This window comes from Homo sapiens, chromosome 7 (assembly GCF_000001405.40).
Source record: "Homo sapiens chromosome 7, GRCh38.p14 Primary Assembly".
Lineage (NCBI taxonomy): Eukaryota > Metazoa > Chordata > Mammalia > Primates > Hominidae > Homo > Homo sapiens.
In genome coordinates, this window is record NC_000007.14 from 37,707,481 (window position 1) to 37,722,037 (window position 14,557).

The following is a 14,557-nucleotide window of genomic DNA, read 5'->3' on the forward strand; positions in this document are numbered from 1 at the left end:
GAGGAAGGTACTGAAAACCATACTATCTTTATCACTCTCATCAACAATAAGCATTTATCAAGTGTACACTCTATGCCAAGTCTTATGATGTGTTTTATAAGTACAAAAACTTTATGAAACGGGTAACATTATAATCACCCCAATTTACAGATAAGGAAAATAAATTATGGAGACATTAAGTAAATTGCCCAAGATGGCCCAGCTAGTAAATAATAAAGGCAAGATTTTAGAGCCAACGCTTATAGTCATATACTACACTAGAAACTTTAGTTACTTGCCTGAACAAGAAAGGATGACAGGACACAGAGGAAGATGGAGGTTGGGAGCAAAGAGAGAAAATAGGAATATTCAGTTGACAAGGAAATACCAGCTAGAGAGGAAAAACAATTACATTGCAATGCTACGACAGGGTTTTTCTCGGGAGGCAGATTTCTGCACAATGTGATAAAGGACTTTCCAGCAACTATTTTTAACAACACCACAGACTGCCTCTCAAAACAGAGTGTGAATATTTTGACCTTGGAAATTTTCAGATGCTAAAGAAATTTCCTAAATTGAAGAGAACATTGGAGTGTATATGACCTCTAAGCTAGTATGTGACCTCTCAGATGCTTTGGATATAGAAGTTAGCTCATTGAAACCGTCACAGCAGCCTGACAGATGTAATGATAAAATTTTATAAGTGGCCATACTGAAGCATGATGAGGACATGTGGTTGAATCCAGGTAAATGACTAATCTAGTCATTGAGCTCAGCTCAGAATCTGGTCTTGTGAGCATTTCTAGTCTTGCCAGCATTTCTTTCATACTGCCTCTTGACAAATTGCTGGCAAAAAAAAAAAAAAAAAAAAAAAAACGCAAAAGCTGGCCAAAAGCAGCCTGCATTTGAATTAAGCAGAGAGTTGTTCTTGAATTTATTTTTTGTACTAGGAAGACACATTTCTTCCTCTATGCTTTAGAAGAAGTACTGGAATGGTGGTGTCCCAATAAGGTGCCATGTTCAGAGAGTGGTGAAAGCTAAAGCTGACCTTATAAGACCTGGGAAAAATGAGTACGCATCCTGTCTGAGAGCAATAATATCATGCTGTACATACAGTAAAGTCAGGGGTTTCCTCTGGGAAGAGGCACATAACTCCAAGAAACTCAAGAGGGAAATCAGGGTGACATTTATAGGATACTGACCTCGTACAGACAGGGTCCTTTCATGCATAACTATTAGCTTCATTATGTAAGAGCCACCTAGAGTGTAGAAGAGCAATAAGGTATCAAAGCTCAAATGCTTTCCTTAAAGCACCCATTTAAATAAGTCATAGGGGCTACCATTTTTACAACATTTCATAGATTACAATGTGTGTTCAGGTTTGACATCTCACTCAAGCCTTCTCAACATTTTACATTCAAAGCGAACTGCGTATGTAAAGGCTTATGAAGGTTTTTTCATATGTAATATCTCATTTATGTGCTAAATGACTCTGAAATGGAGGTATTATTAAACTATATTTTTAATTAAGCCGAGTAAAATTATATATATATCCACAAGCTATAGCACCTATTTTGAGTGCATCTAAGACTGTTTTGTTTCTGTCATTAGGCAACTAAGAAATATAGGATAATTTTGCATGGTGAAGGTATATTAGAAAAGCATATGAAAATAGTCTTATTATTATTGCAGAAAAATGAGAGATCATCGTACACAGAAAGAAATAAAAATTATTCATGATCCACCTGCCCAAAGCAGCAATGCTTAAATATTTGGTACAGTTACTTCCAATAAATAAATATATTTGGATTATTTGGTAAAGATCATAGTGTGCATACAGGGTTGTCTTCTTTATCACAGAAATTTTCTATTTTATTTAATATTCTTAGTAAACATCATTTTAATGGCATAGTAGATTATGTGAGTGGAGCATAATTTACTTAACTTATTGTTAACAAATCTCTTGCATATAGTATATGTATTTTGTACCTATTGCTGGTATCCCTCTTCATAATTCCTAGAAGAGGGATTACCACCCCAAAGAGCATGATTGCTATTAGTGATCTTGCCACATATGGCCAAAGTGACTTTTAGAAAGTAGTACCAAGCTCAGCTCTAATGAGCAACATCACCTTGCCTTGCCAGCATTGAAGATTGTCACAATATTTTAATTCACCAATTTTATAGATTAAAAGATATTGTTGTTTTAATTTTCACTTTGCATGGTCACTTTACGTTGTCCACACAACTTATTAAAGACATGGATAAAAGAAATCCCTGTAAAAGGCAGCTTAACTGGATGTTTCCCTCCAATGGCAAAGTGACTCTCAATGGGCCAAGGTAAGTACTCAAGGGTGAGGGAGGCTTGGGTATTGCATACAAGAGCTGGGATCACAGCAGCAGGGACTAAAGGATGTCTGTTGTTTGTCAACTTGCCTCTCTTTCTTCCACTTTGAGTATTTTTCATTGCATGAACAGTTGCCAAATGCCTGCCGGGTTCCCTGCACGCCCGCAGTAAGCATTCTCTCACAGCATGGATTCTCTGTTCATGAAGCTCTCTCTGCAAAGAGTAAAACAAGAATGGGTTGCAAGTAGAGAAACTGAGAGTACGTGATGACCTGGAGGATGCCCCACAGGCAACATTTCCTTTTGAGGCATTGAGTTTAGTCATCTCACTCTTCATAATAGAAAATGGAAGTAGAACTATCTTTTGTTATTGTTTGGATTTTTTTTCTTTTGGGTATTTTTTTTCTGCCCTTACTCTTTTGTTCTTAGATTACTAATTTAAAAATGTTATTATGGAAAATTTGAAATCTGTAGCACAGTAGAGAGCAATAAACCCCATGTACCCATTACTCAGCTACATGCAACTACATAGACTCCATGCAAGGCTGCCCTGAGTGATTTACTCTGTCTCCCCTCCAACCCTGCAGCTACATAATTTTGAAGAAAATCCCAGAAATCCCAGATGTAATATCATTTATCCATAAATATTTTGGTATATATCTCTACAAGATGGTTTTTGAAAAACCTATCATCTTGCCCAAAAATTCTTTAAAATTGCCAAATAGCCAACTACTGTTCAGATTTTCCTGATTGCCTCATATTTTTACAGTTGATTTCTTGAATTGGGTTCCACACAAGATCTGTATCTTGCATTTGTTGATTTGTTGTTGTACTCACTTTAATAAGTATAAATAAATGGTACTTTTAGTGGGAAATGGTATTTAAATAAATGCCCACAGTCTGAGTGCCAGGGACGCTTATTGCAACTCTGATGGTTATTATTTCTGGACAGAGCTAGAAAGTAATAGGAGGGTATTTTTATTTTACACACAATATTTTGATTGCTATTTACTTATTTATATAACAGTACAACATTTTTTCTCTCCTGAGTATCAGAGTTCTGTATCTTCTTAGTTAAATACTCAGTGTGATTACTGTAACTGATAGTGTTTTAGGTTCTTTTGGGTGAGAATAGGGATGACTTACCATGTGACCTGGCTTTCAAAATCTTCCTTTATACTCTGCAACATCAATGAATCAAAAAGAAAATAAAGCAAGTGGAGAGACTGATGTTACTTAAATTAAAATCACAGAATCACAGAGCTACGGGGGTCTACTGAAATCATTCTAGTTGATCTCTTCATTTTGTAGAGAGATACACTAAGGCTGGAAAGGTGACTTGCTCAAGGTGATCTAAATCAATGGTTCTCAAAATTTAATATGACCAGGAATCATCTGGAGGCCTTCTTAAAACCCAATTGCTGAGCCTCACCCCAGAGACTCTGTTTCAACAGGTCTGGGTGGGGCCCTGGTGATGCTGATGCTGCCAGTGCACTGACTGATTTAGTGGCACTAATCCATCTACGTGTTGCCTAAATAACAGCTAACGGGAGCATCTTCTTGGCTACAGCCCTGCTAAAGTAGAGATGAACTCACTTTGAGCTACATGGGAGTAAGTGTGGAAAAATCAAGTCATGGGGCAGGAGCAGGTGAATTGTGGGTTGACCAGGCTGTTTTCTACCTGATGTGACAGATAGAGAAGACTCAGCTGCCTCACTACTACTGGGGGTTGTCAATTTTTCATCATAGGTTCATTCCTTTGAGATAACTCCTCCTTTTAAAAATCAAATCCTTAAGAAAGATTCTCCCTCTCCAGACGAATTTAAGCCACTGATCTCAATGTAAGCCTGTTGCAAACACTGCTAGGTATCTTTATGTGAATCTCCTAATTGGAGGCAACCTTTCTCTGAAATCCCACAGCCTTTGCCTGTATCCCTCTCTTGTCCCTGAGTACTTCCTACTGCATCTGTTTAGACATTCTTGAACAGGCAGTGATCTAGATACCTAGGTTATGCCAGAGGTGCAAGTTTTAAACTCCAGACAAAAGAGTACACTGATTCGCTCGAGTAACGGCTTCCAGGTTTAATTTGTTGCAGCCAGAGTGCTGGAGGTTTAGAAAACTCAGTCCTGTCTGTATGGTAAAAATAGATGACAGATGCCCTCAAAGTCAGGGGAGATACCTTCATTTCATAACAATTCAGGAATCTAAGTCCAGGAAGCACCTTTAGGATTTTAAAGTTGCTAGAAGCTTTGTAACTCTCCCTGGGTATTTGAGTTTCTCATCTCCCGTTACTTGATTAACAGGGAAATATGAAAATCCAAAAGGCAGATCCCAGGGAGACAGAATCTGCTCTAGAGAGAAGTCCCAAGGGGGAGAGTGGGTGGGGGCATCCCTGGGATACTGAGAAACTGGCTGGCCTTTGGTACACAGCAAGAGAGAAGCAATCAAATTCCCACCTGTGATCCCCTTGATAACAGTGACTATTCACCTCCATATCTCCTGGGCTGGCCTGAATCGGTGGTATATGGTATAGGGAGGAGGACCCAAGAATTAAGGGACCCAGGGTGTGTATGTCTGAGGGCTGGGTGGGTCAAGTAATAAAGAGGATGAAAGAAACAAAGACAAGGAGGGTAATAAAGTGATCAGTGTTGCCTACTGAATATTGCTTCTGTTTGGACTAATGATGCTAGACTGATATTTACTCCTCACACTACCTGCCCCTCTGTTTCTCCAGGTAATACCTCAGGTCAAGAACACCAGGTCATGAATCAAAGGCCTTTTGTTTTTAAGCACACCTGATACCTGAAAGATGAGAAACAGTGGCTGCCCTTCTGGTGGCAATGCATGAGCAGATGGGGACAATAATTTTAAAATAAGATACATAAGATGCCTCTGAAGAACATTGTGTTTAGTTAGCTACTGCCAGCAAAATGCCACCTAATAAGTTTATCCCAAGACTCAATAGCACAAAAGAGCAATCATTTATCCTTATGGACCTGTGTATTGGCCGAGGGTCAGCCAGTTGGTCAAGGCTGAGTTTGGTGGCTCTGCAGAGCTCAGCTGGGCCTGCTTCCATGTCTGGTGTCTGCTGACTCTAGCTGGGCTGTCCTGGATGATTTCACTTGCTTCATGTGTCTTCATCTTCCTCTTAAAACCAGGGGCTAGCCCAGCATGTTTTTCTCATGGTAATGATAGAGGCATAGGGGAATGTACAGAAACACCATCTCTTAATGCCAGAGCCACAAGCTAGCACATTGTGACTTCCACTTTGGTCTATGGGCCAAAGCAAGTCACCTGGCCAAACACAGGGTCAAGAGGGCCAGAAGTACATTATGCTCCTACAGTGGAAGAAACTGCAAAGTTATATGTCAGGAAATGTTCATATAGGCAGTGCATGAAGAATTGGGCAAATAGTGTCCCTAACACAAATATATACCATGTGTTATCAATTAAGTGAAATACATGTAAGAAAATTTAGATAAAATACCATTAGATTCTGATGCTAATTTTTTATTGTTATTTTTTATTTTCTTAGAGATCTCATTATGTTACCCAGGCTGGTCTCAAACTCCTGGGCTCAAGCAATCCTTCTACCTTGGCCTCTCAAAGTGCTGCAGTTACAGATGTGAGCCACTGTGCCTGGCCTGATGTTAATTTATAATGCTTTCCTATGAATAAACTGTTAAAACACTTTAGTCAATGTATCCAAATCTGATTGGTGTTATTCAGAATTATTTTGCTTCTCTGTGTATAGATTCTTCTAATTCTTTTCTGTGTTCCTCATGCTTCCAAAGCTATACTTGTCTGCCTTGAATGGTATTACTCAATTAAAATTCTCAGACTCTATATCTGCAATTGTTCTGCCACTTTAAAGATACTATGTCTTTAAAGTTGCTGTGAAAAAGCCTCCAGTTCATTCTGCAGAATACCCATCAGTTATATATTTACGTGACTGAGACGTTATTTCTCTCCTGTGTAATTTTAGTTGCCACATATTGAGAACCTTCTAATGGAAGAATCTACACTAAATCCTTTATATCTGTTTGTCATCTCCTTTAAACCTTACAACAATACTGCAGTATTGATTGAGCAATCCCCATTATGTAAACAAAACTGAACTCAGGAAGATTAAATACATTGCTTAAGGATGAAATGGTAATAAGATCAGAATTCACATAGTTTGGTTTGGCTATGAAGCCAATGGTTTTTCTATTATTTTTCACTTATCTTTTTTTTTTTCATCATGTCCCGTCCTCTTACCCATATACTTGAGTTTTTAGATTTTTCTCTGAGATGTAGTAAAGAATGTTTGGGTGGCAAGTGTTAGTGCCATCTCTTTTTATTCTCTTGAGAGCCTGTGAGTGTGGAAACACGTGTTATTATTATCCTCTGTAAAGCTGCAGGGACTAGTACTTTGAAGTGAAGAGATTTACAGGGACTGGGATGCAGACTCTGTATATTTTTCTCTTCTCTTATTTCAATTACTATGTTTAATCATGGTAATCGAAGGTGTGAGAGTCTATAATTTTGCTACTGGAACTAGCCAGTGAACTTGGACCTAAAGAACTATATTTCTTTATACAGTTCTGGAAGAGTTTGGGAATAATAATAGCATGGGTGTTCTTCACATTGCAATAACATAGAAATAAGATGGCAGAGGATAGTTACTATGCAGCCATACGGCCCACTAGGTTCTAGAGTATTGGGTTTATAAAAGGATTTTTGAATAACTTGGGACTCTTGTTACTAGTGGTCGTTTACCTAACTTCTTGGACAATTTAAGTTAAAGAATAACCCAAAAAGAAGTCAAACTAATTTCAATTTATCTAAATAACCTTGAAGAAAGCCAATTGAAATTTCTTCCCTTCCATTGTCCTCACTTTCCAATGAATATGTTTTACTGTAAAGATATGGTCCAAAAACATGTTTATTTTTCTTCATGTTGTTTTCATATGCCATTCGTGTAGCAAGCACTGTTACGCCATGGCAGTTACTTTGATGTGTGGAAACAGGATGTAAGCTATTATGTTCTTTGCAATGGCTTCCCATTCATCTGTGTCTCAAGCATTAGGAGTTTCAAAAAACCCTATGAGTCCTGATTTGGGTTAGTTTTATCTTCATGAAAGTTAGAAAATAGCATTTCTTTTCTGGATATTATTTGTCTTTATCCTGAATTCTGCAAAACATGTTATAACAAGAATTGTTGGCTATTAATATATGTTACTGGTTTTAAAGTTTTTTATTTATTATTAACAAGAATTGTTGGCTATTGATATATGTTAGTGGTTTTAAAGTTTTTTATTTATTATTTATCTTATTTGATTGTGTTTTAGAGACAGAGTCTCACTCTGTTGCCCAGGCTGGAGTGCAGTGGCATGATCACAGCGCACTGCAGCCTTGAACTCCTTAGGCTCAAGCACTTCACCTGCCTCAGCCTCCTGAGTATCTGGGACTATAGGTGTGAGCCACCAAACGTGTCTAATTCTTGTTTACAATTTATTTCTGTAGAGAAAGGATCTTACTATGTTGCCCAGGCCAGTCTGGAACTCCTGGCCTTGGGCAATCCTCCCACCTCGGCCTCCCAAAGTGCTGGGGACCACTGTGCCCAGTCTATTTTCTCCTTTAAATAGTGTTTTTTTTCCTCCTTTAAAAAAAACCAAACCTTTAGATGAGGAGGAAAAGGAAAGGAAACATGATGTTTATGGAGTGATTGTTCAGCATCCAGTCTTACGCTGGGTGCTTTACTTAGTTTATCGCAATGTTAGTTCCATATTACAGATGAAGAAACAATGGCATTTTGATAATGCAAACTGCATAGATCTCTAATTTAGCTTTTTTGGTTGTCAGGCTTTGATGGGTTCAAAATTTGATAGGAAATTTTGTTTGTTTCCTTTCATATTAAAACACTGTTCTTCTACCAGATCCCTAGAAGACTGTGGCCAGCAGGTATTAGCGTCAGGAGGTGAGTATTAGTTTAAATATTGACCTCTGTTATGTTAATAACATGGTGGCAGCATTTGTAGGCCGCCAATGCACACATTCCACTACCTAAAACAAGAGAATTTGCCTTTGACACCCTTCCTGAAACGAGTCCTGAAATTCATTCTGATTAAACCACCATAAGCCTTATGTGCAGCCCAAACTAGTAATTGTGATTAGGGGTGAGGCGGGGGTGAAATGCACTACTCCATTTAACATAGCCCAAGTCAAGAATCCCATCCTTGGAGTTGAGACAGAGTCAACTTTTCAGAATGACGTGGATCTTGAAATGGAAGTGGCAGGCTTTGAGGAAGGCAGACAGACATGGGAGTCTGGGAGCCAGGCAAACCCAGCTGTCCACAACATCATTTATTCTTTCAAAGACGCATCTAGAGAGCACGCTTGCTAAGAACGGTGGGAGAAACTGACAAGAATTAGACATAGTTCCTGTCCAGGCTGCCTATAATTTATTATGGAGAGGGAGGAGCTAAATTAATAACTATAATCAAAACCTGAAATGCTGTGACATAAAAGTGGCAACTACCTATTAGAGTGAGAAGGAGAATTACTTTTTGGTACAAATAATGGAAAATTTTCAAAGGGGGTGAAAGATTTCTTAGAGCTAGAAGGGGTACTTAGGAATTTTTTTTAACTCTGTGTGATATGATGCTGAGAGAAACTGGGACACAGGGAGAGTAAGACTTGTTAGGGAATAAGATAGACATAAAGATGAGGAGAGGTAATGCCCAGGGTTTTAGTAGAAAATATAGGGCTCCAAAGAACAAAAATTACCCAATTTCACTGTTTTACTTGGGATCAGTTTTTCCAATAAGTGTGGTCAAAAAATCAGAAGTGTGTGGACAAAAGTATAATTTCTTGTTGGCTGAAAAATGGTAACTTCTATATTCTTTGTTGAGTTAGCTGTTTGCTCAGGGAACCAGTGTATTGCAAAGTATATTTTCTGTCAGCTTATCTGATTCCTTCTTAAGAATTTCTATCTCTGAATAAAGTTTCAACTGTATTTGTTTACTTATATCTCTTTTGCTTTAAAAGAAGACACAAAATACCTGAGCTTTCAGCTAAGTTTTCAACTCAAATTCTTTGTTTCTAGGTATTAAGGGGAGGGTTTTCCTTTACAGATTGGAGATGGATAAAGTGCCTGCCAAGGGGCTGAGGGTGTTGTGAGCATTTAAAAGGGCTCAGCTCTATGTAAGCTTCCCAGGAAGATAGGTGAGAGGTCCTCTATCTAAGAGCCTCAAATTTACAGGATGGATATGATCAAAAGAGAATCAAGCCATGTCCAAACCATGGGTGCATCTGAGGACAGATAGGCCTTGCTAATTATGTGTGTCTTCCACTAAGGTGAAAATTTGCTTCATTTCCTAAATACATAATAGACACTATGAGGGAATGTGGTTCAGAAAATATGCATGAGGGCTTGCGAGAAGAAGAATGAAAAGCTGTTTTCAAAGCTACAAAAGGAAAGCTCAGTTTCTTTCTTCTACATTTAAAGTAGGTGGCCTAAAACTGAACCAATAAAAGATAATTGCAAATATATTTCTTATTGAAATCTCCCTTTCCCCCAAAGGTTAAGAGGATTGAGGACATTTCTGAAAAAGGAGGAGTAGATAGTCAAAATCTAGGTGGAGGTTGTGTATTTGCTGATTGATGCATTTCAGACCATAATGGAGAAGACCACTTTGTTCATTAACAAACGTTTCCATATCAGTGCCTGCCTTTTGTGGCTCATGCTGTCCATCCCTGACATTTTCTGCCCCCTCTTTCTTTCTCTCACCCCCCTTGTTGTGTACTAAATCCTTTCTGCCTTTAAGTGTCACTCCAAAACCAGCTTCCTGCATGAAGCCTTCTCAGATTCCCCCTTCTCCCAGTTTGGCTTGTTCTCCCACAACAATGCTCTGATGCACTATCTTATTTTACCTTCATGAATTTCTACAACATGCATCTGTCTCCTTCACTAAATTATAAGCTCCTTGAGGGCAGGACTGCTCTTCTTTTACTGTGTGTCCCTCCTTCGTTACTGAACAATCTTTATACATCTCTTGGGCAAACACATATATCTTAAATCTGATTGTTTACATTGCTCATGAGTATAATTGTTAAATATAATTGTGTGATAAATGTACCAGGAAGTGGATCCCCTGGTCTAATTGCCTTGCGAAGTATTCTTTCTTCTCTCTGGGGTGAAATAAGTCAATTATATTGAAAGTTAGAATTGTTAAAAAGTTTATAACTAGTAAGGGTGATTAGAAGCCCTAAATTCAGCAAATGTTCAGCAAAGTATTTGGTGTTTACTAGGTATCTAGTATCATGCTAGTGATGAACTAAATAGTCACTCTCAGCACCCTCATGGGGACTATAGTCTAGTGAGGAAAATGGTCAATTCATATGCGAATTAGCAAATAGATTCACAGATAGACATTGTATAAGTGCTATAAAGAAATTAAACAGTTCCAGTGATTTGAGAGGCTGATGTGAGAGGATCACTTGAGGCCAGACGTTCAAGGCCACCTGGGCAACATAACAAGACTCCATCTGTACAAAAACTACAAAAATTAGCAGGCATGGTGGCGTGTGCCTGTAATCCTAGCTACTCTAGCTACTTGAGAGGCTGTGACAGGAGGATTGCTTGATCCCAGGAGTTCGAGGCTACAGTGAGCTATGAACCACTGCACTCCAGCCTGGGAAACAAAGTGAGACTCTGTCTCGAAGGAAGGAAGAAAGGAAGGAAGGAAGGAAGGAAGGAAGGAAGGAAAGAAAGAAGGAAGGGATTCTAGAAAAGAAGGTTTAGAGAAAATGTGGGTTAGAAAGTCATTTCTGCTGATGAGCTTGATTTAAGACAAATTGAGCTATCCTCATTTATGGAGATGCATGAAAAAGCCACTGGTTGGCAAAGGAAACAACATTTGCCCTGAGCATAAATGAGAGAGAAACTGATACTAGAGCCCTGTCTACATCCACTTAACAATTGCTCTTCTGAGATCACAAGGGTGATAGAGCCTATGTAGATCTCCCTGGCTCATTGAACCTTAACCAAGGGCTTCTGTTAGGCTTTGAATGCACACCAGCGACATAGAACTGAAGATGCAGTATCTTAAGCAGGGCTCACATTTGTTTTATTTTAGGCTTCCCTGATAAGTTGTGTGTGCGTGTATATGTGTTGCAGGGTGGGGGATAGGGTTGGAGGGCATTATGGAGGCAAGAAGAATAAGCTTTCTTGCCTGTGCGTGAAGAGTTTCACCAGACGATTTCAGCTTTCTCCTGTGACCTGGGAAAGCTGTGATGTGGAGCATGGCCAGTTTATACTTAAAAATGTCCACACAGTTCTGGTTGGTTCTGCCATGCCAGAATCAAAGGTTGGACCCGGAAACAAATGCCTTTGGCTGCTTGGTAACCAGCACTATCACAAGACAGTTGTGTTGATTGAGCCTAAGGTGGAAGTCTGTGTGAGCTATGAGAGGTGGTAAGATATGACTGCAAAAGCCAGGGCTTTGTCAAATCATACACTCTTGGGATTAGTCATCTTGTCTGACCATCAGACTCAGTGATAAGTTTTTGTATCTTGCAAGTTTTCAATTTGGCAAGAAGTTTCCTGATAATGCTTGGATATCTGCATCTCTTCTTCCTTCATCCAGCATTGATGGTTAGTAGCTTCTTCTAACCATTCTAACATGGATCTCATCTTGTATTTAATAATTGACAGATGGGTCCTCTCCCATCTTATATGGAGGATCAAAATGATTCTAGCAACTTAGTTCCTTTCCTCAAAAATATTGACACTCACCTTTGCCACACACGTCTGCGAATTATGAGTTATTGTTGTAAGGGACTAAACTGTCTAATCTTAGAGTTCGCCTTGGCCATATTTAGAATGTACAGTTCATAGGCAGCTGAGCAGAAAACCAGAAAAAGGGGGCTGAGAATTAGGTGAGAAACTGAGGAAATGAGTGAAATTAGTGATTCTCCACCCAGTCAGGAATTTTTTTTTGAAAAACATTCCTTCGACTCCTGTGAGATACAGCAGGGAATGAGCTTATTGGAAGAGATGAGGGAATGAGAGTGTGAGGAGGAGCTTGAATCCTTCCAGAGATCCCATTAGAAATAAGGCAAGGATGGGGGAGCCAGGGCAGCCTTTGGAAATGGGGAGCAGCAGGAATAATGGGGAAAGCAGCCCCCAGAGAGTGTCAGGGCCAGCCTGGAACCAGCCTCTGAAGGGGTGACCAGTCTTGGAGGGTTACTGGTCAAAGAGGAACATCTAAACTACTGCCAGGGCAACGACATGAAAGAAAAGGGTTCCAGGGTGTCGGGAGATTGATGGGGTTCAGGAAGGCTTGGGACTCAGCAGGGCCTGGGAGGTGAACCAGGAGTTGGGCAGAAGGCAGGCAGAGAAAAGGTGTGCCATGACTCAAGCCTGGCACTTTCAAAAGAGGGCCTGCCCCAGGCACTCATCCTGGGTTCACAGGGCACAGGGCGGCAGGCACTTAGAGATACCAGACCCTGGTGCCCATCAATGGCTTTACATGGCCCACCTTGGGCTAGGTCTTCCTGGAGCTGAGCATGTGAATTGAGCACACCATAATAATCTCTGAGTGTAGTTTCCAGTTTCAACAAAAGCAGAGAGTTAAGTACTTAAGAGTTCAAAAAGGAAAAGAAATTAGGCCGGCACCATGGCTCATGCCTGTAATCCCAGCACTTTGGGAGGCCGAAGCAGATGGATCACAAGGTCAGGAGATCGAGACCATCCTGGCTAACATGGTGAAACCCCTTCTCTACTAAAATACAAAAAAATTAGCCAGGGGTGGTGGTGGGCACCTGTACTCCCAGCTACTCAGGAGGCTGAGGCAGGAGAATGGCGTGAACCCGGAAGGCGGAGCTTGCAGTGAGCTGAGATTGCGCCACTGCACTCCAGGCTGGGCAAAAGCCAGACTCCGTCTCAAAAAAAAAAAAAAAAAAGAGAAATTAAGAAAAGGGTTCAGAACCCTCTCTGGGATACATTAAATTTGGGGAATTAAATTTTTAGTGCAGTTTTATTTTTCTCTTACATTGCAATCTGATGAACTGCTTTTCAAACATTTATTGGCTTTAGAGAACTTGAGTAGGCCTGTTTTAATTACTTCTCCAAGTCCTCTTCTAGTATTCTAATTAACTGCTTTTCAATACCCTGATAATTGGTCATAGAGATACAAACAATACAGTTGAAAAACAAGGACCAATTGTCTAGGGGAATCCACAGCTCCGAAGGAGAGCAGGGATGGAGCAGTGAAGAAATGTCACTTTTTCTCTTTTTTCATAGGAAAGGGACTTCTGTGTTGCTGTGACCCTGTGATGTGCTGCAGAACATTTAGGCTTCAGAGTCAAACAGCCTGGGTCTCCAATTTCAGGGCTGTCATTTGTTAGTTGAGTGAACCCAGAAAGTTGCTTAACTTTTCCGAGCTTCATTTCTTCAACTAATATTTGGAATAAAAGTACCCTTGTCCTGGATTTCTTGGGAGGATTATAAGTATCATATAAGAAATTTCCATCTTAGTGCCAGGAACTGAAGAGGCACTCAGGACCTGGTGACAAAAGTTATCAATACATTATGCTACAATAGATGTGCCCGTTATTGGTGAAAAGGCATAAACCTAGAGGTACCTGGGGCTGAAGACAGAGTAAGGGTTATCTTGGACAGATTGGCCTGGTTAATGTCTCAGTAGCTTTGATTTAAGAAAGGTCTTCTCTGAACGGCTTTCCCTTTGGTGGTGTGGTGTTTTCCATCCATAGATGTTGGTTACTTCTACAGATGAAATGCCCATTAGAAACATGCCCAACGTGTCCTAAAATTATTTTCCATTCTTGGTCCTCCCTAGATTTTTTGTTGGCGTGGCAGCTGAACTTGTTGGCAGATTATATTGGGCTCCAAGACAAAGGTTGACAATTTCTCCACGTCTCTGTTTGGGTGTAAAGTGGAGACACAATTTTTAGAACTTCTGGGAGAGTCTTCTCTCACTGTCAGCCTAGACTGTGGAGGCCTGAAAGTATGGTGTCTGTCTCAGGGGGCAATGGGTTACTTGAAGGATATATTTTATCCACAGCCTTTTTTGTCTTGTTCATTTCAGAATTTTGCCTACAAGTATATTTCACCTACAGTGAATAAAGATTAATGGTTGATTGAAGTCATCTGGATAACATATTGGAAAACTTCTTGACAGGAATAGTTTAAATTAGAAAGCAGAAATAAACTTTTGACTTTAA

General features: G+C 39.7%; 1 protein-coding gene across 14 annotated transcripts in view, besides 3 other annotated features; it reads left to right on the forward strand.

Moving 5' to 3' along the window:
• Positions 1-14,557, forward strand: part of GPR141 (G protein-coupled receptor 141) — a 60,070-nt gene that overhangs the window by 23,715 nt on the left and 21,798 nt on the right. For 2 of the 14 annotated variants that reach the window (XM_011515374.4, XM_011515375.4), the window contains exons 4-5: positions 2,238-2,319; positions 8,248-8,288. The exons of 8 other annotated variants lie outside the window; for them this stretch is intronic. In XM_011515374.4, coding sequence (XP_011513676.1) covers positions 2,238-2,319; positions 8,248-8,288 — 123 coding nt within the window. Of the gene's footprint in view, positions 1-2,227; positions 2,320-8,247; positions 8,289-14,557 lie in introns of those variants that run through there. 4 more of the 14 variants (XM_047420330.1, XM_017012163.3, XM_011515383.4 and 1 more) reach the window with 3 other exon arrangements.
• Positions 2,699-2,748: an enhancer, noted in NCBI's record as "active region_25860". NCBI's record gives its function as "activates an Ori minimal core promoter by ATAC-STARR-seq in GM12878 lymphoblastoid cells {active_cell/tissue: GM12878}" and the evidence as "EXISTENCE:reporter gene assay evidence [ECO:0000049][PMID:35858748]".
• Positions 11,192-11,251: a silencer, noted in NCBI's record as "silent region_18105". NCBI's record gives its function as "represses an Ori minimal core promoter by ATAC-STARR-seq in GM12878 lymphoblastoid cells {active_cell/tissue: GM12878}" and the evidence as "EXISTENCE:reporter gene assay evidence [ECO:0000049][PMID:35858748]".
• Positions 11,542-11,651: an enhancer, noted in NCBI's record as "active region_25861". NCBI's record gives its function as "activates an Ori minimal core promoter by ATAC-STARR-seq in GM12878 lymphoblastoid cells {active_cell/tissue: GM12878}" and the evidence as "EXISTENCE:reporter gene assay evidence [ECO:0000049][PMID:35858748]".